Source organism: Homo sapiens, chromosome 12, assembly GCF_000001405.40.
Source record: "Homo sapiens chromosome 12, GRCh38.p14 Primary Assembly".
In the NCBI taxonomy this organism is placed as follows: Eukaryota; Metazoa; Chordata; class Mammalia; order Primates; family Hominidae; genus Homo; species Homo sapiens.
In genome coordinates, this window is record NC_000012.12 from 100,151,182 (window position 1) to 100,173,546 (window position 22,365).

Sequence of the window (22,365 nt, forward strand, 5' to 3'; positions counted from 1 at the left end):
ACAAACCAATTGTAACTGCTACTAGTTGGAACATACATTCAAGGAAACTTAAATCTATGTCTTCAGGGTTGCAGTTCTCAAACTTGGCTCAAAGAAACTTTCCACTGTGAAAATAAGTAACTCTGGCTGTACGTGGTGGCCCATGCCTGTAATCCCACCACTCTGAGAGAATGAGGCAGGAGGATTGCTTGAACACAGGAGTTGAAGACCAGCCTGGGCAACTCGGTGAAACCTAGTCTCTACAAACAATAAAAAAAAAATTAGGTGTGGCGACTCACACCTGAGGTCCCAACTACTGGGGAGGCTGAGGCAGGAGGATCACTTGATCTCACAGGCTGCAGTGAGTTGAGATCATGCCACTGCAATTCAGCCTGGGCATCAGAGAAAGACCCTGTCTCAGTTTTTTAAAAAATAAAATAACTCCAAATATGAATTGTTGGAACTTTAAAATATTCTTAGCCTTAAAGGAATGGGATTACAGCACCTGAGTCAAAAAAAAAAAAAAAAAGGGCAATTATAACCTAGGCAGCTGTAGCCTTTGTTTCTCTGATTATAGATTAGCCTTATTCTTTACCTACATTGTTTTGTAAAATGTTGTAAATAACTAAAGAGCTCCAGGGAAGCCTCTTTATTTGTTTGTTTGTTTGAGACAGGGTCTCGCTCTGTCACTCAGGCTGGAGTGCAGTGGCACAATCTCTTCTCATTGCAACCTCCAATTCCCAGGATTGTCCCTCTACCTTCCTACCCCAACCCTTCTTCATGGAGCTCACCTGGGCCTTGCCCCGCCTCAGCCCCACACTTCTACTGATTATAAAGAGATACCCCCCTTATTTGTCTGACTTTGGAATCTTTACCTCTGGCCCACAGCCATCCTGGGCTCTGCCCCCTTTTGTACACAAAGCCTTTGTCTTCTTAGGAAAATGACCAGGTTCTGCCCATAAAAGTATCCTACCTGAAAGGGAGGTGGAGAGAGAGTGCCTCATGGAAAATCACAGAAACACATTTCTTTGCATCTGAATGCTTCCAGTACCTCACTTTGTCAGCAAACCTACTCTGGGTTAGACCCCAGCATCCTTAGCCTTTTTGTGCCGTGGCCTTCTTTGGTATCTGAGGAAGCCCATGGACTGCTCAGAATAGATTTTTTTTTTTAAGTGCACAAAATAAAATACAGAGAGCAATGGAAATAAATTATATCAAAATAAAGTTTATGAAAATATTTGTGATATTACATGATATGCTTTATTGGCACATTAAATAACAAGATCCAAAGTTAGGTCTAATTACTATAATTTTGAGGTAATGATGAGCAAAAATGCTATCCCGAGATGTCTGCAACAGCTGCAGTGTAATATGAAAATATCTGTGATTTCTGTTGGTAACAAAGTAACAGGTGCTGCTAACACTAATGAGGTTTGTTCCTAGCAACATTCGCCATGGAAGGAAAAGCTCAATTTCAATTAAAGTTTAGAGAAAATCAAGATGCAATCACCCTCCTCCCATCTTTCTCAATTTTTTAAATTATTTTTTATTTATTTTTAGGCATGGTCTTGCTCTGTTGCCCAGGCTGGAGTGCAGTGGCACAATCATGGCTCACTGCAGCCTCAACCTCCTGGGCTCAAGCAATCCTCCCACCTCAGCCTCCTAAGTAGCTGGAACCACAGGTGTGCACCACCACACCTGGCTGATTTTTAAAGATTTATTAATTTTTTTAAATTTTGAGACAGAGTTTCACCCTTGTCGCCCAGGCTGGAGTGCAGTGGCGCGATCTCGGCTCACTGTAACCTCCGCCTCCCAGGTTCAAGTGATTATCCTGCCTCGGCCTCCCAAGTAGCTGGGATTACAGGCACGTGCCACCGTGCCCAGCTAATTTTTGTATTTTTAGTAGAGATGGGGTTTCACCATGTTGCCCAGGCTGGTCTTGAACTCCTGATCTCAGGTGATCCACCGGCCTCAGCCTCCCGAAGTGTTGGGATTACAGGCGTGAGCCACAGAGCCCGGTCTTTTTTTTTTTCTTAGTAGAGATGGGGTCTTGCCTCCCTCCCGGGTACCATCATACCTGCTAGTGTGGGGTCTTGCCTCCCTCCCGGGTACCGTCATACCTGCTAGCGTGTGACTGAAGGCAGTGTCCCTGGCCCCAGCTGAAGGACCATAGCCAGCCAGTGGGCTCAGGCACCTTGGCCTGTTGCTCCTAGGGGTCGCCTATGCTATTCAGCCAAGGGGATGACAGTGCCTGCTGGCTTGGCTGAGCTCCAGCCAGGCTTCCCCCACCACTGACTCTCGCTCTTCTTTTCCTGGCAGGAAGGGCCCAGCCTCATCTATGCGACCTGTAGCCCCCCAACCAGCTGAGGCTCCCCTCTTAGACTTGTAAATCTATGGCCACTGGCATCTGGCTGCCTGCACTCCCTGCTTCCCCCAGGGTCCTGGGCTTTCTGACCACCCAGGGGGGACTTGGGCACTCCCTCCAGCCATGCATCCCTTTTAGCTTCATCCTCTTGGTTCAAGCAATGTTCTTTGTCTGTCAGGCCTGGTGGCTGTTGTGTAGGGCTCCCCAAAGCGAGGGGTGGCCCTGGGCCAGTGGGTTGGAAGACAGGGTGACAAGTGGGAAGCCCGAGGGGGCTGAGTTTCGGTCTGAACTGTGGGTGCACTGCCTAGATGCCGTGTGACAGGCCAGCATGTGTGGGGTGGGGAGGGCCGCCGCAGCCCCCAGGCATTACCTGTGAAGCTCCGGCTCCTCCATCTTCCTCCCCTTTCCCTTTTAGCCCCTCTTTTCCAGGAATCTTGCCACATCCACACTTGTGTCCTCCCCTCCCTGGCCCTCCCACCACTGCTGCAGTGCGTTGCGCTTGCCTTACCAGCTCTCTCCTCACTTTTCTCTCTCCCGTTTTCTCTCTGCTTTCTCTCCAACTGCCAGCCAATGGGGTCAGGCAAATCCATCCCATCCTGAGAGCCCCAGGGCCCTCTTCTACCTCTAAACAGATCCCTCCTCTTCTCAGAGACCTTCCTTTCCAAGCCTGCCTGGACGACTGTTCTGTGACTTGACAGTGGCTCCCCTAGCCCCAAAACCAGCCCCCTTCATCTGTGATGGTCTGTTGTAGTGGTGAGCTGACACATCCAGGCATAACCTTTGGTGAAAACTTGTGCCCCCTCTGTGGTACACCCCTGCCCTGTTCTATAAATACTCATATATATATACATATACACACACACATATATGTATATATATGCATATATATACATACACACATATGTGTATATATACGTGTGTGTGTGTGTACATATATGTATACACTCCTACACATGGCCGACTGCCTCGCCTCTAGCGCTGGGAATCAGTCACCGTGCTGTCCTTGTGGAGTCTTGTGACCCAACTACAAGAGAACACTGTCCCCCAACAATCCCCATCCAAAGTCCATCACCTCCAGTGAGCCTCCCTGTCATGCCTGGCCTGTGGACAGCCAGTCCCCACCATCCCTCCTGCCGCCCGACAAGCTTGGGGGTGCTGTGCAGACAGCTGTGTGGCCCGACAGTCTCTACCAGTCCTGCTGTCCCTTGGCTGGGAATAAAACCCATTTCTAAGTGACGGGGAATGTGTCCTCTGCTGGTTGCGTTCTCTGTGGAGCTCAGGGGAGGGGAAGGGTCAACCCATTACCAGGGTGCTATTGGGAGTGGTAAAAAGGCCACATCCTTTCCAAGGGACGCTTCCTGGAAAGCCTCCGGAGCTTAGCAGGCTCTCATCCTGTGAAGCCGGCTCTGGCCACTAGGGGGCAGGGCCATGAACTCAGATTGGAGGAAGCCTGTGGGGCAGCTGGCAATCTAGAGGGACAGACAGAACAGGCCACCAGGTGCAGACAGGCGAGGGAGGCAGGAGAACAAAATGGAAGACAACTGGGCTGGATGGAAGTCAGTGACCTTGGATGCTGGCACCTGCCTTACTTGCCACTGCTAGATCAGGCTTCCGAGCCTGTTAGCCGTCCAGGCCCCATGGTCACCCATAGGTGCCATGGCAGTTCCTGTGGAATTCCCCAGGTGTTACCAGGCAGCATACAGGTAACAGGCCTGGAAGGTCCCCAATACCCCAGCTGGACATGCTCACTTTGGGGCTCCCTGTTCAGTGGCACAAACTCCATGACCCAGTGAGGGAAACAGGAATACACCAGGCCAAGCAGTATATGGCTAAATACATTCCAAAATAAAAAGCAAAATAAACAGGAGTCGCATCACCACAGTGCCACGACCCCATCTCTGCCCCTTCCCCTGGCCTATGCTATCAATAAATAAGTTTTCCAGCCCCAAATAACTATCAGAACTTCCTACCCATATGCCAGCTCCAACCTCTGCTATGTATGACACAGGAGGTGGCCCTACCACTGGAATATACAAAATGTTACACGGATATAGTATGTACACTAAGGGGGGCCACTCCAGAGCCTGTGCCCTCACCTGGTCTACATTAGCCCCATTGTCCTGCCTCAGCCGCCTCTCTGAGTAAGAAGATGGGAGCCCCCCTGAGGAAAAAATTGCTTTGGTGAGAGTTAAGGAGGCCATTAGGCCTCCTCCAAACAAGCCAATTCTATAAGCCTCTGACTCTTAAAACAATAATCATCGTCCAGAAATTTAAGGAGTCAGCTCTGGCCAAGGTGGCAAAGGGTCTGCATGTTTGCCTCCCCCTGATTAGACACGGGTCTTATTTTGCTATTGTGAGGGTAAAGGGGTGACTGGGAAGGGGTGGCTGGGACATGATGGGGACGGAGCCTCTGGCCCCACACTTCTCCAGGCTTTGCTGACAGCTGCCCGCTTTTATTTTATTCACACTTTTATCCTTTTTTATACTTTTCATAACTTTTTTTTTGAGACAGTTTCACTCTTGTTGCCCAGGCTGGAGTGCAATGGCACAATCTCGGCCCACTGCAACCTCTGCCTCCCTGGTTCAAGCAATTCTCCTGCTTCAGCCTCCCCAGTAGCTGGGATTAGAGGCATGCACCACCACGCCTGGCTAATTTTGTATTTTTAGTAGAGACGGGGTTTCTCCGTGTTGGTCAGACTGCTCTCAAACTCCAGACCTCAGGTGATCCACCCACCTCAGCCTCCCAAAGTGCTGGGATTATAGGCGTGAGCCACCATGTCTGGCTTCATAACTTCTCATAACTTTTATACCATAACTTTTATCCCATAACATTTTTAATCCTATAACTTTTTATAATCCCATACATTTTTTTTAAAATCCCATACCTTTTTAAAATTTTTTATTTTTTTATTTAGTGGCCTTTTAGATTATGGTGATCTTCACCTCATCTCCACCTGTCTCCCCACATTAGACAGGGGTCTTATGCTTGCTACTGTGAGGGTAAAGGGTTGACTGGGAAGGGGTGGTAGGGACATGGTAGGGGCAGAGCCTCCAGCCCCACTTCCCCAGGTTTTGCTGACAGTGGCCGGCTTTTAGATGATGGTGATCTTCACCTCATTGTTCTCATCAGTCTGGTACAAAAAAGGAATGCAAGGGCTGCTGCCCAAGCCTGGGTGCTCCTGGAGGTTCTGCATCTCATGAAGCAGTTGCATGATCTGCTGCTCAGTGGGGTTGTCACAGGGAGAATGCTTCCCCGCCTCTCCTTGTGCAGACTCCCCACTGCTGGCAAGGCTCACCTCACAAAGATCTTTGGAGAGAGGGAGGCAGGGTGCTGTGGGAGCCCTCCCCTGCTCCTGCGTGCCCACTGTGCCTGAGGACTCTACTCACTACCCTGGCTTGTCAGTAGCCCCAAGCTACTGGGGGGCGGGGGCCCCTGGAGTGGGCTCATCAGCAGGGTTCTGGGCAGCTGCCAGGAATCTGCTATGCCACTTGTTGCAGTCGTCCACAAGCCACGCCAGCTCCAGCAGCTTCACCTGGAGGGAGGGGTGCTCAGCTGCTCTGCCTGTGTCTGAGACCATCCCCAACCCCACCCCCTCTACCCTCCACCCTCCACCCCTACAGAGATGTTCCACGCCCTACCTTCACCTCTCCCTTGTCCTGGGCCAGCCTGCTGATGCACTCCTCCTCCTTCCGCACTGCCCTCTGGCTCTGGTACAGTGCGATGTACTCTCCTGCAGGAGGACAGGACTCAGACGCTGGGGCCCCTCTGACCAATGTGCAGCTCTCTTTGCCGTGCCCTGGCTTCCCACTCCCCGATGGTGTCTGTCTCTCTCCAGACAGCTAGATGCAGCAATGTTCCAGTTCCTCAACCCTCTCCTTCAAGTCCACCTTCTCTCCTGCATGAGCTCCATAAAGCGGCTCTGGAGCCAAAATAATGGGGTCACATTAAGGCAGCGACCTTCCTGCCCCAACCCTTCTTGGCCCATGCCAGGAAAGACTCACCCACAGCTTCTCCATGGCCCCCTGCAGGGCCTGGTGGGTCTCCCCACACATGGGATCACCCCCAGTTCTTGGGGCTGGGGCTGCTGCCTCAGGTTCCTTCTGGGCCGAGGCCAACAGATGAGCCAGGCGCTGGCAGTGCACTCCTTCAGCTGCCCACATAGCCGTGCCTGCTCCTCCTCGGCACTAGCTACAGCTGAGTTGAAAAATGCCACCTGCAGGCAAGAGGTACGCATTCTTATGGGGGATACACAGGATGAACGGGGCAGGGAGGTGGAGAGCAGGCCTTGCCTTGGGGGGCCTCAGAGGATGCACCTGTTAGTCACAGGTGAAATGGTGTCTGACCACTGGCTCCCAGGGAAGGGGTGAGGGACCAGAGAAATCAGAAGGCCAGGAACCCAAGAGCAGAAGGGGGTCTGGGAGGGACCACAGAGGGAGGCAGCAAAGGTGGGGCAGGGGGAGTCAGGCTCACCATGGCCTTCTGGCTCTCTAGATCCTCCGGGATGCTTGGCATGGGCTGAGGCACCTCCTCCTCCTCCTCACTGTCCATCTCCTGTTGGGGGTGGCCAGAGAGGTCCTCAGACAACCCAACAAGGGCAGAGTGGGCCCACCTCTGCCCCCACCCTCACTGTGTAACCCTAGGCCAGCCCCTCCCTAGTGGGGAATGAGCAGCTGTTCTTTATTTTGAAACAGTCTCATTCTATCATCCAGGCTGGAGTGCAGTGGCATGATCTGAGCTCACTGAAACCTCTGCCTCCTGGGTTCAAGCAATTCTCTGCCTCAGCCTCCCGAGTGGCTGGGATTATAGGCGCCCGCCACCACACCCGGCTAATTTTTGTGTTTTCAGTAGAGACGGGGTTTCACCATCTTGGCCAGGTCGGTCTTGATTGAACTCCTGACCTCGTGATCCACCCACCTCAGGCTCCCAAAGTGCTGAGATTACAGGCATGAGCCACCGTGCCCGGCCTCTTTATTTTTTAAAGAGCCAAGATCTTGCTATGTTGCCCAGGTGCAGTCCCACTACCAATAGGCATGGGAGTTCCGACCTGCTCCATTTCTGACCTGGGCCAGTTCACCCACCCTTAGGCAACCTAACCTGGTGGTCCCCTGCTCCCAGAAGGTCACCATATTGGTGCCAAACTTAGTGTGGACACCTGGTTGGCATAATGACCAGCTGTTCTAAAAGTCTGTTTCAGCTCCTCAATCCTATGCTGCTAACAGTTCCCGTTTCCTCCTGGGGCTCTCTCCTCTTCCTGTGAGCAGTCTCCGGTACCTTCCCCAGGGAGAGCCATGAGGCTCAACTGGGCCTGAGGCTGCTGGTTCTGCTGGCTGATAGCTTCCAGGTGCTCCTAAGGGGCCAAGAAAGGGAGTGAGAAGGCACAAAGGTTGCCAGGTCGTTACCCTCAGGGCCCTGCCCTGAGCAACTCCCTCACCTGGGTCTCCCGCAACTCTTGGCAGCCCATCTTGGCCACAGCTTTGCTTTGAGCTTTCTGCTGCTGCAGCCGGTCCACGAGCTGGGTCTGCAGCAGTAACTGGTTGTGCAGCTCCTCCTCCTCAGAGGTCAGCTGCTGATAGGTGACCACCTGCTGCTGATAGGTGGCCACATACTGCTGCAGATGACCCAGGTACTGGTCCTGCTGCTGCTGCAGACTCTGAGCCTCCTGGCTCTTCAGCTCCACCTGCAGAAAGACCCTGGGCATGAGGGCAGGTGGTGGCTGGCCCATAAATAGGGTAGCAAGGTCACTGTGTGGCTCTGTTGCCTACCCAGGCCCCTGGCCCCTTGGCTCCAGGCCTAAATGACTGCCTCCCTTTCCCAGAGTCCCATGCCTCCTTCCCCAGCTGCAGGGGTCTGTCCTGCAGACCCCAGCCGCACAGCAGATGAATAACATACTCACACCGATATTCAGTGACAGAGCAGCTAAGGGGCCGGGCCATGCACAGAAAGAGTTGTGGCGGCCACAGGCCTTAACTGGCTGGCCCTCATGGCATTTATTCAGCACAGACTTAATGACAAAGGCTTTGAGTCAACACACCTGTGGGTAATTAACTCCCCCTGCCCCCAGGTAGAGAGCAATCATGCACCTGCGGATAATCAAAGGTTGGTCTTAGGACCACATGAGTAAACAAGCTATTCAGATAAACTCCCCCACATTCCCATGTTATTTGCTCTATTGCTATCAACTCAAGGTAAAGGGGATTAGAGGTAAAAAGGATTTCAGCCAAATCCTTTACTGAAGCTATGCAAACCTTCTGGCCTTCCAAGAAGGTTTGTGTCTATATCCTGTAACTTCATCTTACAATTTTCCAACCACACTGACTGATCCCCTAAATCTCCCCATTTTCTGTTTTTTTTGCATTCAGTCTTGTTCATTGGAGAGTACAGGTGTGCGCAGCAACAGGTCTGTCAGGCATGGTGGTCATTGCTCTTATTCCGGCTTTGCATCCTAAAATTAGTAAATAACATAAGACAAACATGAGTATAATTAGCAACATTCTTTTCTAATCAAGGAGTGACCCACCACCCCCCGCCCCCAGGAGCGGTGGTCTATCCAGGAGAGATAATCTCACACACCCTTCCATATGGCTGTTTGTTGGGTGTGTAGATCTACAGTTTGAAGGGATTCTAAAATTGTATTTTTAAGTTGCCTTATGTCTGCTGTTAAATTGTCATGAAAGGTTCCCCAGAGGTGTTGTTTCACCTCATCCCAACTATGCATTGACTGATTCCATGGTAGAGAAGTGACACAGATATGTTTATGCTCCCAGTCACAGTTTAATTGCTGTTGGAATGCCAGTGCATCTTGTCGCTCCCCCACATATTCCAAAGGCAGCCTCGAGGGCTTGCAGATGTGCAAGAATCTTTTGATCTATACCTTGCTGTAAGAGAAGTTCATTAGAAACATTTCTGGCCAAATTATCTACAAAAGCAGCTGTTTGTACTGATTCAGTAATAGATGCTACAGCCACACTAGCAGTTGCTAGGATGACTATGGCTGAGACTATGAAGGCTGTAAGTGTGCCTATGAATCTTTCGGGTCTGACCTGGGACAGGGCACGATCTAAAGTGGGAAGGGAAGAGGAACCTTGCCAACCGCATGTCAAATTGACTGGTGGGAATGCCTCAGATTGTCTCCTTAATACCACGACTCTAGTAATATTTATAATTAGATATATTGTAATTAGTAATACATGAGGTGAACCAAGGCTGTCCCTGCACCTGGGTCACAAACATGGAGTTTTGGGGTATAACAGAAATATTAGTTCCCACAAGGAAAACATATGGATGGGTAGTGCAAATCAGGCACTGATCAGTGTGATTATGAATAAAGGTTGTAGTATAGTTGTGACTGGAATTATGATATGTCCAATGCCAGGTGTCAAAGGAGGTGCTAAGATGTCCCAGGCACCACAAAGTGTCTTGGGGTGGCATGGACTTTACTTGGGGTCTGGAATATCCTATCCCCCCATAGGCCCAAATCATAGGGGAATGGGACGTGGCTATGAAACTGTGATTGGTGCCATGATGGATGAGGACATTAGTAAGGCTGCCCTGCAAGTGGCTGTGGGGGCTCCAGTCTAAGATGTTATAATTGCCTAACTGGAGCATATGGGCTTATTCCCCATGACAGACCTCCCAGCTAAAGTGGAATCCATTACTTTCCCGGCTTTGTTCTTTAACACAGGAAGGAATGTTTGGGAAAGTGGCATTGATTGCATCGCCCGGTTTGAGGCTACCTGCAGCTAGGAATGTTAAGGCATCTCCTTTGCCATGATGTAGCCATAATTGTGTTTGGGCAGGTACACAGGGTTAGAACCTTTATAACTTACACACAGTGGGAGGATAGTGGAATGATATGTAGTGTTACCTGGCACCTTAGTTTAATGTGTGCCATTAATGAGGGACCCCACTGGGGGTAAATCTATCCCTCCTAGCCAAGCAGTTATGTTATTAAAGGCTGAGAAGGAGGTGTCTGCCCAGGTGACAGGGTGAAAGAAAGGTGGATCTAAAATATGAGCCCAATAGAGTGCACCAGGTACAGGTTGCAGACAAAGCAAGAGCATATGAAGTATCAATACCCTATGCGAGTTGCAATGTACAACAGAGAGCATAGCAAGCAACAAATTATCTGGAGTGAATGGTGTCTGTGTCTGGAGCAGGATTCATTCAGCCTCCTCAGTTGCCGCCTTCAGCATCCCCCAGGTAATGTCCAGAGCTTGTTGCCGTCCGAGGACACTGCATTATCCAGGGTTGTGAGTCCTGTAGGGTCAGTTCCTTCATTTCTAGGTTGGGTCCTAGTCACGTCATGGTATGGTTTGATGCGTCGTGCTGGAATCCAAAGAGGACCTGAGGGGGTGTGAACACAAGCATATCCTCTTCCCCAAGTTAACAATTCATTTGGACCACATCATACATTACTGTTCACATATTTCCATAAAACTGCAGTTTTATGTCTTGAGAGGTTTTAGCAAAGTGCTTTTCTACAATGGACTGAAATTTGTCATCTAAATTTTAAAAATTAAGGGTAAATAAGGCTTGTGCCAATAATGCTGCAGGGTCCTTACCCATACTCCCCTTTTTTGTTTTTTGAGCATATTTTTAAGGGTGGAGTGGGCACATTCTACTATGGCTTGTCCTTGGGGGTTATACGGGATGCCTGTGGAATGTTGGATGTTCCACATGTGACAAAATTGTTGAAATTGTGAGCTGGCATAAGCTAGATCATTATTAGTTTTAATTTTTGTGGGTTGCCCCATAAATGCAAAAGTTAAAAGAAGATGTTTAGTGACATATCCAGTAGACTCTCCAGGAAGGGCATTTGCACTAATTAAATCAATGGATACATGTACGTATCTAAGTTTTCCAAATTCAGGGATGTGTGTAACGTCTGTTTGCCATAACTTATTAGGTTCCCATCCTCTAGGGTTGAAGGAGGGTATGTGCCTGTGAGCTGGCAATCTCGGCATTGCAGGATAATTTGTTTAGCCAGCCTCTGGGTAAGTTGAAATTGTTTAGACAAGTTTCTCCAGTTTTGGTGGAAAAATTGATGCGATTGTGTGGCTTGGTCAAGCACTGATGTCATAACCTGAAGGTCTGCTTCATCATTGCCATAAGCCAGTGGGCCAGGCAGTCAGCTGTGGCCCTGAATATAATAAAAATAGGATGTGTACACTGATCTAGCAATTGCTGAAGTCAAAGAGCACACAGGGTGGGCTCCAGAGTGGACTTAATTAGGGCTGTCTCAAGGTTCTGCAGTAAATAAACAGAGTAAGCCAAGTAACTAACAATATTGAGGGGCTGAGTGGAAAAAGTTTCCAAAGCCAATATCAAGGCCCCACCCTCAGCTCTCTGAGTGTTAGTAAATCCAGATCGATTGATGGAATTATGTGGTCTCCACCAGACTGCCACTTTTCCATGTTTACTAGAACCATCCGTAAACAGTGTTAAAGCATTAGGTATGGGGGAGTGAACTATCGGTGGCCTGAATATATGACTTTACTGATTAACTGGATATAGGGAGATAGTGTTTTGGTCTCGGTATGTGAGCAAAAAATCCATTCTAGAAAGCATAGCTCTGGGGCCATTTGTCCTATTAACCCTGTAGGGGAGTGTTTAGTGGGGAAAATAAAAATAAACAATTGAACAGAATATTCTGGATCTATGAGATTTAGTTGTCTTTGAGAAATAGCCTGTTCTATTTCTTCCATCTTTTTTTTTTTTTTTTTTTTTTTTTTGCTGCAGGGGTTAAATATCTGGGAGAATCCAGGGCTGTGTTACCCTTTAAGATAGAAAACAGGTTTTGCAGCTTATAAGTAGGAATGCCCAAGGTGGGGTGAAGCCAGTTAAAATTACCTAGTAATTTCTGATAATCATTTAAGGTGTGTAAGTTGCTAGTATTTAATTTAACCTTTTGAGGTCTTACTGACCAGGAAGTATGTACCCAAGATACTTCCAAGGAGAGGACATTTGTGCTTTTTCAGGTGCAATGATTAAACCACTTAGCTGTGCATTCTTTATGACAGAGGTATATAAACTTAAAAGCACTGGCTCCACTGGGGCTGCTAGTAGAATATCATCCATAAAATGAATAACCTTGCAATGAGGAAATTCTTTTCTACTGGGGAACAAAGCTTGATTTACATGATACTGACACATGGCAGCACTGTTTAGCATTCCTTGAGGAAGCACTTTCCAATGAAATCGGCAAGCTGACCTTTCAATATTGATAGCTGGTATTGTAAATGCAAATTTTTCTGTCTTGCTTTGCCAGGGGAATAGTGTAAAAGCAACAGTGGCCATTATTAGAAAGAGGTGTTTTAAATTCTTAAATTGTACTTAAATCTTAGCAGAGAATTATAATCTGGGATGTCGCTTGTATACAAGGAACACATGAAATTTTGCCATGGGCCACCCGCGGAGCCAGAGAGTCTAGCCGGCGGGTCCCGGGGCGGCGGTCATGTTGCGCTTGCTCAGGCGCTGCTTTTTGTCTGTGCCACCTTTTGTCTGTGCTGCTCCCTCACCCTGCTGCCGCTGGGCGGACCTTCGTGCACGCCTCCTGCCCCTCCCTATCAGGCCAGCTCTGGTGTGCTGCGCCTGGCTCCTTGTCACTGCTGCCTCTGTGCAGGCTGAGTTCCTGGAAGCACTTGCTGGCTCCAGGTCTGCGAGCTTCCTTTGCTGCCAAGTATTTCCTTCTGCCTACCACCCATTTGGCCACGCGGTTTCAGCCTCTAATGCTTTTTCTTAACTTTTTATAAATGTTAAAAGAAATGGGTTTATATACCCAATTGCCCTGTCAATCTTGTATTACCAGGCAGGCTAAGAGCTCCCCACTTAATGCCTCTTGCCTAAGAAAGGGTCCCATAGCTGTAGCATAGCTCTTGTCTTTTTTCCTATTTATTGGAGGAGGGGGCTCAGGCAAAACCTCCATTTCCTCTTTGTTATTTTGGCCTGGCGATATTGGGGCTGAGGGAAAAGGAGGTGGTAAAGCAGGTGACGGTTCCTCCTCCTTCCCCTTTTTAGGCTCTTCTGTGTATAATGGAGCCAGGGCTGCCCTGACTAAGGCCCATAGCATTAAAGATGATACTGGGACCCATTGCCCTTGCACATGATGCTGATTAAGATTTCTCCCCACTTGTTCCCAGAGCTCTACGTCTAGCGTTCCTTTTTCTGGGAACTATGGGTTATGTGAGACAACAGTTTGCATTAGGTCCCTTAATTGAGCCTGTGAAAATGAGGCTCCACTAGTTTTAAGCAGCTGCTTCAATACTTTTATATACTGTTCCTGTTGAGCTGATAACTGTTGTCCCATGATGAAACCCTAGCCTGAACAATCCCCGCCAAACTTGGAAATTCCGAGCGGGCATCAATGACTTACTGACTTATTGACTGTGCAGTTCTTTTCACCTTTGTTTTCGAGGGGTCCGTTGTGATCCTTCACAGTGTGCCTCACGCGGGACACCACTTGCAGGGGTCTGTCCTGCAAACCCCAGTTGCACGGCAGATGAATAACATACTCAGACACCAATATTCAGTGACAGAGCAGCTAAGGGGCCACACCACGCACAAAAAGAGTTGTGCACCTTGACTAGCTGGCCCTGACGGCATTTATTCAGCATAGATTTAATGACAGAGGCTTTGAGTCAACACACCTGTGGGTAATTAAATTTGCCGACCACCGAGTAGAGAGCAATCATGCACCCGTGGATAATCAAAGGTTGGTCTTAGGACCACATGAGTAAACAAGCTATTCAATAAACTCCCCCACGTTCCCATGTTATTTGCTCTATTGCTATCAACTCAAGGTAAAGGGGATTACGCTGCTTTCAGCCAAATCCTTTATTGAAGCTATGCAGACTTTCTGGCCTTCCAGGAAGGTTTGTGTCTATATCCTATAACTTCATCTTACAATTTTTCCAACTACACTGACTGATCCCTTACAACCAGCCTTAAATCTCACACCCTTCCTCCCACCATTTAAACTAGGCCACAGACTGATGGAAAAGCAGAGGGAGCCAACCACCATCTGCTAACTGTGCTACATGCCTAATGCTTTCCACGTATTATCTCATTTAATCCTCAGCACCTCCAAGAGGAAGGTGCTAACTTCCCTTTTAAGTTAAAGAAACCGAGACTTAGAGATGAAAAGTAGGTGACCAGTGGAGCCAAGGCCGGAATCTAGTTTGACTCTAAGGAACCTCTTATACCACCATCTCTTTCCCTATGTTTGGGAGGCTCCATGACTCCAGCTGGGATGATGATGTCCAGACCTAGGAAGAACGAACCCACCACTAAATGTCAGAGGGCGGGAAGCAAGAAACAGTCACAGGACTGCCCTGGAGGGTGCTGGGGTCACCTGTCCCCCAGGCTGGAGCTGCCTCTGGCTTCACACCTCCCCTCCCCAGAGGCTGGTGCCCGCCTTCCAGCTCTTCTTGGATGGGGCAGGGTTACCATGTCCTTTAGCTTGCCCAGCTTCTTTCCCAGCTCCCTCTTTACGTGCTATTCCAACTGCAGTGCACTGGTGATCTCCATGTTCTCATTAGTCTGGACAGAGAGAAGCAATTGGCGGCCACCCACTGCAGCTGGAGACCCCAGAACTTGGTGTCTGCCTCCCGTGGCACCTGGAAGGGTGGAGGCAGGTTAGAAAAATCATTCCCTCTTCCCCACAGCCATCAGAGCAGGGCTCTGGTTCACAGGTACCTTCAGAATTACCATCTCACATTAGGGGTACACTGCCTCATTTTATGGGTGGGAAAACAAAGGCCGGGAGTGCTAGGGAGGAGAGCAGGCTTTCCAGATGGGGTCACGCACCAGCTTTATGAATCCGTTCTGCAGCGGAGACAGCTGCTCTTTGAGCTTGTGGTTCTGGGTGAGCACGTGGCTGATGGTGGTGCATTTGTTCTGCATGGTCTCCAGGATTTGCCTGCGTGACTCTGCCTGCTCCCGCAAGAGCTCGGCCACCTGCTCCAGCTCCAGCAGCCTCTCCTCCTACTCCTGGTTCGGGTGACTGAAGCCCTCAGTGTCTTGCTCCTGGGCTCGGAGCTGCCAGACTCTCCAGCTCCTTCTGCAGGTGGTCAGCCTCTGCTTGTAGCTGCTGCTCCACCTTGGAGGGCCCTGCTGGGAGTTCCAGGGGCAGGGGTTCAGGTAAGAAGGGAAGCAGACAGTAAGGGCCTCTCGATTCTCAAAAAAACCCTCCTCTTGGTCCACAGCTCCTCTCAGGCTCCCCAAACTTGGCCTCCCTGCTAATGATTCCTTGCACCCGGATATTAGCCAATCTTCCAAGCCACTTTGTGATAGAGACAACTGTGGATGGCTGACAATGGACACGCTTCCCTCTTTGCTGATGGGGACACTGATTCTCATGGAGATTACCAGACTTGCCAACTCCTGGCACAGACCTCTCTCCCTCTGCCCCAGACCTCTCTCCCTCTGCCCCAAAGCCCTCCATCCACCCACCTCCCTGGAGCATTCTAAGCCACCCCCACAGCCCTCTGACACCAGTCCTGCTCCCAGGTCACCACAGCCCCCGCTTACCCATCTGGTTACTCACTTCAGCCAAGCTCATCTACTGTTCTTATACCCAACTCATGCTATCCTCCTTCTCCTCTCTCAATGTGCACACCTGCCCAAAATACAGAGGGAAAGGGCACTGAAGAGAAGGGCTGGTGGCTGGATAGGCTACCATCTCCCTCTCTGACCTTGCCTTCACACAGCCCAGACCCATGACCAACTCTGGCTATAGTCTTCCCATTTTACAGATGCCTAGAAAGATCAAGTGATCTATCTAAGGTGGGGGGCTGAAGGGTCAGGTCTCACCTGCTCCGACATCTGTTGCTTCCTCTGACACCACATGGCCCTCCCTCCTTTCAGATTTTCAGCATACGTATCTCTCTCCGTTTGTAGTTATCTAACTGACTCCATTACCTTAAAGAATGGGTACAAAAGTTACAAAGGGCTGTCACTGGTCCTCACCTGCTCCTGGCCACCTGGGGTCATCTTCCTTCCACATCCCTCCCCTGCAAAGCTTCACCTGCCCTAGATGTGCTTTCAGCTGTGCCCGCTCCTCCATGGCCTGCGGTAACTGCTGTTTCGCATCAGGGGCTTCACAGTGCCTTGAAAACTGGATGGTGAAGAGTGAGAAGTTTAGATTTGGGGAGCCTGGGCCGTTCCACACAGTGCACCTTAAAAGGGCTAGGGCTAGGCTTAATGTACAACTCAGTCAATACGACTCTGCTGTCAAGTTTCTTTGCTTTAGAAATAAAAAATTAAATAATTTTAAAAAGATCTCAGGCTGGGCATGGTGGCTCACGCCTGAATCCCAACACTTTGGGAGGCTGAGGGAGGTGGATCACTTGAGCTCAGGAGTTCAAAACCAGCCTGGGCAACATGGTGAAGCCCCATCTCTACAAATACAAAAATTAACCAGGCGTGGTGGTGTGCACCTATGGTCCCAGCTACTTGAGAAGCTGAGGCAGGAGGAGCGCTTGAGCCTGAGAGGTAGAGACTACAGTGAGCCGAGATCACACCACTGCACTGCAGCCTGGGTGACAGAGAGAGACCCCATTTCAAATAAAAAAAATCTCTACTCTCTATTATTACCCATGGAATAGTGAAAGTGTTGGCTTGAACGTCAGATGGAAGTATACAGACTCATTAGCTAGCCATACAAATGTAATTTATAAAATAATGGTTTTCATCTATGATGCTTTAAAAAAAAATTTTTTTTTAAGCCCTAACCCTGAGATTCTGATTACCCAGGACTATGGTAGGGCCCCAATTTGTAGATTTTTAGCACTCTCTAGAGGATTCTATGGTAGGATCAGAACAAGGACCCAAATTTTCCAACGCTTGGCTAGAGCCTCCCCATACCCCACATGATCCCTAGACCATGGCCCCAGCTGGATGGGGCTCCAACCACCCCCGGAGCCGCACCCCCTAGCCTGTTGAAGCAGGAGTGCCATCATTTGTAATTTCTTTTGCGGCTCTTCTAAAATAAGCTGCATGCCAGCCTTCTCAGTCACCAGGACTTGAAGCTTCTCTTCCAATTCTGATTTCTCCTGCTTCAGGTCCTCATTGCTTCGGTTATGGCCAGAAGCAGTAGAGAAAGGAATGAACTAAGAACAGAAAGGACTGCTTTAGTGATCAACCCTGCACCCTTGCCTAACCAACACAGAACCGCGGCATTGGAAGGAACCCTAGGAATCCAAAGTCACAGATGGCAGGCCCAAGAGAAGGCATGAGTTGCCCAAGGCTACACCATGAGTCACCAGCACTACAGCTTAACTGTGCACATATGCAAACCTGTATGACCACCTCACCATGCTTACCTGTACCCCCCAACCTCCCAGCACATCACCCATGCTAAGGGCCCCCAGACCTCCCATCCCACCTTCCCCCATGCTACCTGTTCTTGTATAACTCCAGCCTGAGGGCGTCTCTCTCTTTGGTTAACTCCTTGTTGTACGGCAAATACAGACCAAGGTTAAGTCAGGATATAGCAGGCAGAGGAGCAGTTGGCCGACCGGTAACAATAGCTACAGTAACTATTCCACAGTAATACTTCCTCACTCTGAATCACACTTGACATTTTTTCAAGGCATTTCCAAGCCCATGGTCTCATTTGTTTTTTTTTTTGTTGTTGTTTGTTTGTTTGTTTTGAGATGGAGTCCAGCTCCGTCACCTAGGTGGAAATGCAGTGTCATGATCTCAGCTCACTGCAACCTCGGCCTCCCAGGTTCAAGCGATTCTCCTGCCTCAGCCTCCTGAGTAGCTGGAATTTACAGGTGCCCACCACCACACCCAGCTAATTTTTGTATTTTTAGTAGAGATAGGGTTTCACTGTGTTGGCCAGGCTAGTCTCAAACTCCTGACCTCATGATTCGCCCGCCTAGGCCTCCCAAAGTGCGGGATTCCAAGTATGAGCCACCGCGCCCAGTCAGTCTCATTTGTTTTTAAAAGAACTTAGTAAGCGTGAAGGGACAGGGAAAGAGATTGAATTTACAGCTGGCTAACAGAGGCCCAGAGGGATTACGTAATATTGCTATTGTTTTACCGTTATTACTACCACGGTTTGAACCTTTATTGAGTGCTTCACCAGCCACCATGCTAACAATCCCATTTAATCCTCACAACCACCATGTGAGACAACTACTATTATTACCTCTATTGTGTCAACAAAAAACATGGGGCATTAGAGGTTAAGTGCTTGCCTAAGATCACTCAGACAGAGCTGGGATTTGAAACCCCAGGTATATCTGATTCTCCAAGCCCATTTGTTCACTGGGGGTGGGGGCACAGACAGGAATGGGGAAATCAATTTCTTGTTCACTTTTTGAAAGGATGATGCATTCACATAGTCCAAAGCTCAGAAGGTACAGAAGGGAAATATCGCCCAGCCACCCTGTTCCTCTCTCCTGAGTTTTTTGTGTTTTATTTATTTATTATTTTACTTTAAGTTCTGGGATACATGTGCTGAATGTGCAGGTTTGTTACATAGGTATACATGTGCCATGGTGGTTTGCTGCACCTATCAACCCGTCATCTAGGTTTTATGCCCCGCATGCATTAGGTATTTGTCCTAATGCTCTCCCGCCCCTTTCCCACTAACACCCTCCTGAGTTTATGAATCCTTGCAGATATGTTTTATGTATATGATCATAGTATGTATGTAGACACACACACACACACACACGTTCCCTCTCTCTACACAAATGGTAACATACTAAAGATACTCTTCTGTACCTTCACAGTACAAGTACCATATTCCCCACTTAGCACTTGGCAAAGGCCAAAGCCAGTTAAGGGCAGGGTGAGCACTTGGCCTCCAAGCTCTATGTCCAGTGCTCGCTCCCCACAGGGCCCCTAACTCACCCACAGAAGCGGACTCAGCCCCAGGCTACGTCTAACAACCACACACAAAAGCAGCAAGAAATGGCCCATGCTGCCTTCTGGGCAGGACATTCCATCCTGCAGAAGGAACCTTTAGGCTCACTCCGCCACCTGGGAAGCCAGGCTGCCAGGGGATGGGGCAGGCGGTTGGACTCACCCTGTCTGCTTTCTTCTGCTGTGTGGAGACAGCAGAGAGCCTGCTCCAACTCTCCCACACACTGCCTGGAATACTAAAGGCGGCTGGCCAGATCCTCAGACTCCTGGAATGAGAGAGGTTCAGATGGGGCCCAAAGGACTCCCCCTAATGGCCTGTCAAAGTGCCAAGTTGAAGGATGATGGGGTGCCCAGATTCCGACCTTCTTTCTGCCTGGCAGCATGCTGAGTGTAAGCCAGGCTGTAACTCAGCTTTCTCTGATACAAGGATTTCTACATTCTGAATGTGAACCTTTGGTAGAAAAGCCAAAAGCTGATAGAGAAGGGAAGAAACATTCTCCAGAGGACAGGAGGGAACTTCACACTCTCTACTCACCTGTAACTGCTCCCTTAGGGCTCCCTGCTTTTGGTGGCACTCTTTCTTTTCCTATAGGAAGAGGAAGACAGAGCTCTTACTAGGGGGAGGCAGAGATGGTACAGCAAGGGACATGCCCCAGGACAGTTCCACCCATGGGACCAAGTTATCAGGGACCTTATGGGGATGGGGTGGAATCTGAGGGGTGAGCCTTCTTCCCCAGGCTGGACTAGGTGAGACAAGACTGAGGTCTCTACATCTGAGTGCCTCCCAAACCCAGCAGTCATGTTGTAAGCAAAGAGTTACTTCTTCCAACTGATCCACCATTTCTTGGTTCTGTTGTTTCTTTAGAGAGAGTTAAAAGAAGGTGACTGAGGATGGCACCCTTGACTCTATTCCCCAGATCAGGAAGGGGTAGGCAGCAGCCAGGAATGGATTTTAAAGGCAAAGTTCTCAGACTCAGTGGAAACATGAACTGGTAAACTCTCCTCAAGCTCCCAAGGAAAGAGGATTTGGGTCTTTGTTGGTTTTGGCCCACAGCCATAGAACTGAAAGTCTGAATCTGGAGTCTCTCAAAGGGACAGTAACATAAACCTCTAGAGATGAAGTGTGAGAAAAGCCCACCCTTCTGCCAGCTTGTAATTTAGAAAGGTGCATTCATTCAACAAACATTTACTGAGCACATATGTGCCAGGTATGGTTCTTAATAGCAGGGATACAAGACAGAAAAAGACAGACAGGAGCCCTTGGCCCTGAGGTTTTCATTCTAGTGGGCTTTTTTGTTTTTGTTTTTTTTTTTTTGAGACGGAGTCTTGCTCTGTTGCCCAGGCTGGAGTGTAGTGGCACCATCTCGACTCACTGCAACCTCCACCTCCCAAGTTCAAGCGATTCTCCTGCCTCAGCCTCTCAAGTAGCTGGGACTACAGGTGCGTGCCACCATGCCTGGCTAATTTTTGTATTTTTAATAGAGACGGGGTTTCACTGTGTTGGCCAGGCTGGTCTTGAACTCCTGACCTCCTGATCCGCCTGCCTCAGCCTCCCAAAGTGCTGGGATTACAGGCATGAGCAACCATGCCCAGCTCTAGTGGGCCTTTAAACCTTGGACTCTGAGAGCTAACAGAGACCTTTGATATTCTCTAACTTTACCTCCTCAGGAAATGCAAGCCCAAGGAGAAGAGGTGGCTTGTTCAGAATCAAAGAACAAATTAGGGACTCAATCAAGGTAAAAATACAGGGCTCCTGACAACTAGTCAGGCTAGCACTTCCCCAAGAAGCAACAACCCCAGGCACTCAAAGTACCCTAGGTTGAGATGATATTAGGAAGATTCAAACTGTCAAATTCAATTTCCCAAGATCTGTTCCACAGGAGATAAGCAGATCTTACTCCAGAGACCACTGATTGAAGGGCATTCTGGTCCCAGAACCATGGAGAATTCGAATATGAGGTGGAAAACTCAAAAAAAAAAAAAAAAAAGCTAAACTCTCTGGAGAGTAGAAGTCTGGGAGAAAAACAAACCAAACCCATTCTCCTATTGCTACCCAGAGACACTGTCAACGTTTTGAGCTCATGGGGAAAGTGTGGGCTTTTCACATTGTCAATGTCTATGCTAAGGGAGTAAGGCAGCTTGAAACCTTTCGTTCCTAGATCCCATAGTCCCCATTCCCCTTCCAGCTGGAAATCTGTGCTGTGACCAGAGGAACCAGAAGCAGGGTGAGAACACTTAGTGGACTGGGTCCTAAGATCAAAGGCCAGTCTCGTGGCAGTAATGACAGTTCCTAGGGGGACTGTGATGTCACTATATTTTACTCCTCCCTGGGGTGGGGGCTGGCTATCAGCATGAGGCCCGAGTCACCACTTTGAGATGTGGGAGGTGGGTGCAGGGCCAGGACCCAGGACCTTGGAGATGTCAGCCCAAAGACCCCAGGGAGGTCAGGCTTGGGGCAGCAGAAGGTGAAGACTGAGTATGGAGCAGGGAGCCCCAGAAGTCACCCACCCAAAGTCACCCTGGTGCGACTGGTGAGGGCAGAGGCTGGGCTGCTGAGGGGGAGGGGCTGGCTGACAAGATTTTGGTTGGGGGAGCCCAGAGGCACTGGGTGGGGCCCAGCCCAGTGTGCCTCAGGAGTGCCACAGACTCTGGCAGCAGTCCTGCCATTGGAGGGAGCCTGGGACGGTGGGCCACAACCTGGTGCATTTACCTTTTTCTTGGCCATGGCCAATTTGCTCTGTCAGGTTTCCTCCGATATCACAGGGCAGGGAGAGGCGGGGATGGGGCCACATCAGCATGATCCCAGTGACAACTACTAAACACTTCTAGTAGCCTACCACACAGCTGTGTGACTGAGCCAGGGGAGGTGTAAACAAGGTCGCACTAGAATGCATAATAGGGGTATGGCCTTAATGCTCCAAGCCCATTGGTCTATGAGAAAGCTGAAAGGGAAAGGAGGCATGGTCAGGCAGCAGCGTGTCCAGAGGGACCTGTGGCCTCACAAGGAAAGCTGCTCATGCAACCGCTGTCTCCGCTCACTCTGGGAGAGAGGCAGGGCCAGCTTTCATTTTAGAAACTTTAAAACTTTAAAAAATAAACTTTAAAAATAATATGTCTGTGTACTTTATATATGTGTGTGTCTATA

At 49.3% G+C, this 22,365-nt stretch overlaps 3 pseudogenes across 2 annotated transcripts, besides 7 other annotated features; 1 reads left to right on the forward strand and 2 right to left on the reverse strand.

Annotated features, from left to right (window-relative positions):
• Positions 1,866-2,367: an enhancer, noted in NCBI's record as "H3K4me1 hESC enhancer chr12:100546825-100547326 (GRCh37/hg19 assembly coordinates)". NCBI's record gives its function as "activates a minimal SCP1, AML or CMV promoter by ChIP-STARR-seq in naive H9 embryonic stem cells {active_cell/tissue: H9 hESC(naive)}" and the evidence as "EXISTENCE:reporter gene assay evidence [ECO:0000049][PMID:30033119]".
• On the forward strand, positions 2,298-3,587 carry DNM1P19 (dynamin 1 pseudogene 19; annotated as a pseudogene).
• Positions 3,823-3,942: an enhancer, noted in NCBI's record as "active region_6851". NCBI's record gives its function as "activates an Ori minimal core promoter by ATAC-STARR-seq in GM12878 lymphoblastoid cells {active_cell/tissue: GM12878}" and the evidence as "EXISTENCE:reporter gene assay evidence [ECO:0000049][PMID:35858748]".
• Positions 3,963-4,022: an enhancer, noted in NCBI's record as "active region_6852". NCBI's record gives its function as "activates an Ori minimal core promoter by ATAC-STARR-seq in GM12878 lymphoblastoid cells {active_cell/tissue: GM12878}" and the evidence as "EXISTENCE:reporter gene assay evidence [ECO:0000049][PMID:35858748]".
• Positions 5,187-6,076: an enhancer, noted in NCBI's record as "H3K4me1 hESC enhancer chr12:100550146-100551035 (GRCh37/hg19 assembly coordinates)". NCBI's record gives its function as "activates a minimal SCP1, AML or CMV promoter by ChIP-STARR-seq in primed H9 embryonic stem cells {active_cell/tissue: H9 hESC(primed)}" and the evidence as "EXISTENCE:reporter gene assay evidence [ECO:0000049][PMID:30033119]".
• On the reverse strand, positions 5,210-22,162 carry GOLGA2P5 (GOLGA2 pseudogene 5; annotated as a pseudogene). 2 transcript variants are annotated; one of them, NR_036632.1, is made up of 10 exons: positions 21,931-22,162; positions 19,756-19,806; positions 10,421-10,688; positions 8,377-8,787; positions 7,777-8,022; positions 7,617-7,692; positions 6,816-6,896; positions 6,347-6,558; positions 5,984-6,075; positions 5,210-5,877 (listed from the first exon to the last, which is right to left on the reverse strand). The product of NR_036632.1 is annotated as a GOLGA2 pseudogene 5, transcript variant 1 (transcript). The 2 variants fall into 2 exon arrangements; NR_024261.2 differs by lacking the exons at positions 5,210-5,877; positions 5,984-6,075; positions 6,347-6,558; ... (3 more) ...; positions 8,377-8,787; positions 10,421-10,688 and adding exons at positions 13,869-14,959; positions 15,150-15,455; positions 16,155-16,262; ... (2 more) ...; positions 17,743-18,018; positions 19,384-19,486.
• Positions 6,077-6,965: an enhancer, noted in NCBI's record as "H3K4me1 hESC enhancer chr12:100551036-100551924 (GRCh37/hg19 assembly coordinates)". NCBI's record gives its function as "activates a minimal SCP1, AML or CMV promoter by ChIP-STARR-seq in primed H9 embryonic stem cells {active_cell/tissue: H9 hESC(primed)}" and the evidence as "EXISTENCE:reporter gene assay evidence [ECO:0000049][PMID:30033119]".
• On the reverse strand, positions 7,321-7,584 carry RN7SL176P (RNA, 7SL, cytoplasmic 176, pseudogene; annotated as a pseudogene).
• Positions 12,021-12,753: an enhancer, noted in NCBI's record as "NANOG-H3K27ac-H3K4me1 hESC enhancer chr12:100556980-100557712 (GRCh37/hg19 assembly coordinates)". NCBI's record gives its function as "activates a minimal SCP1, AML or CMV promoter by ChIP-STARR-seq in primed H9 embryonic stem cells {active_cell/tissue: H9 hESC(primed)}" and the evidence as "EXISTENCE:reporter gene assay evidence [ECO:0000049][PMID:30033119]".
• Positions 14,847-15,347: an enhancer, noted in NCBI's record as "H3K4me1 hESC enhancer chr12:100559806-100560306 (GRCh37/hg19 assembly coordinates)". NCBI's record gives its function as "activates a minimal SCP1, AML or CMV promoter by ChIP-STARR-seq in primed H9 embryonic stem cells {active_cell/tissue: H9 hESC(primed)}" and the evidence as "EXISTENCE:reporter gene assay evidence [ECO:0000049][PMID:30033119]".
• Positions 22,163-22,365: the final 203 nt, after the last annotated feature.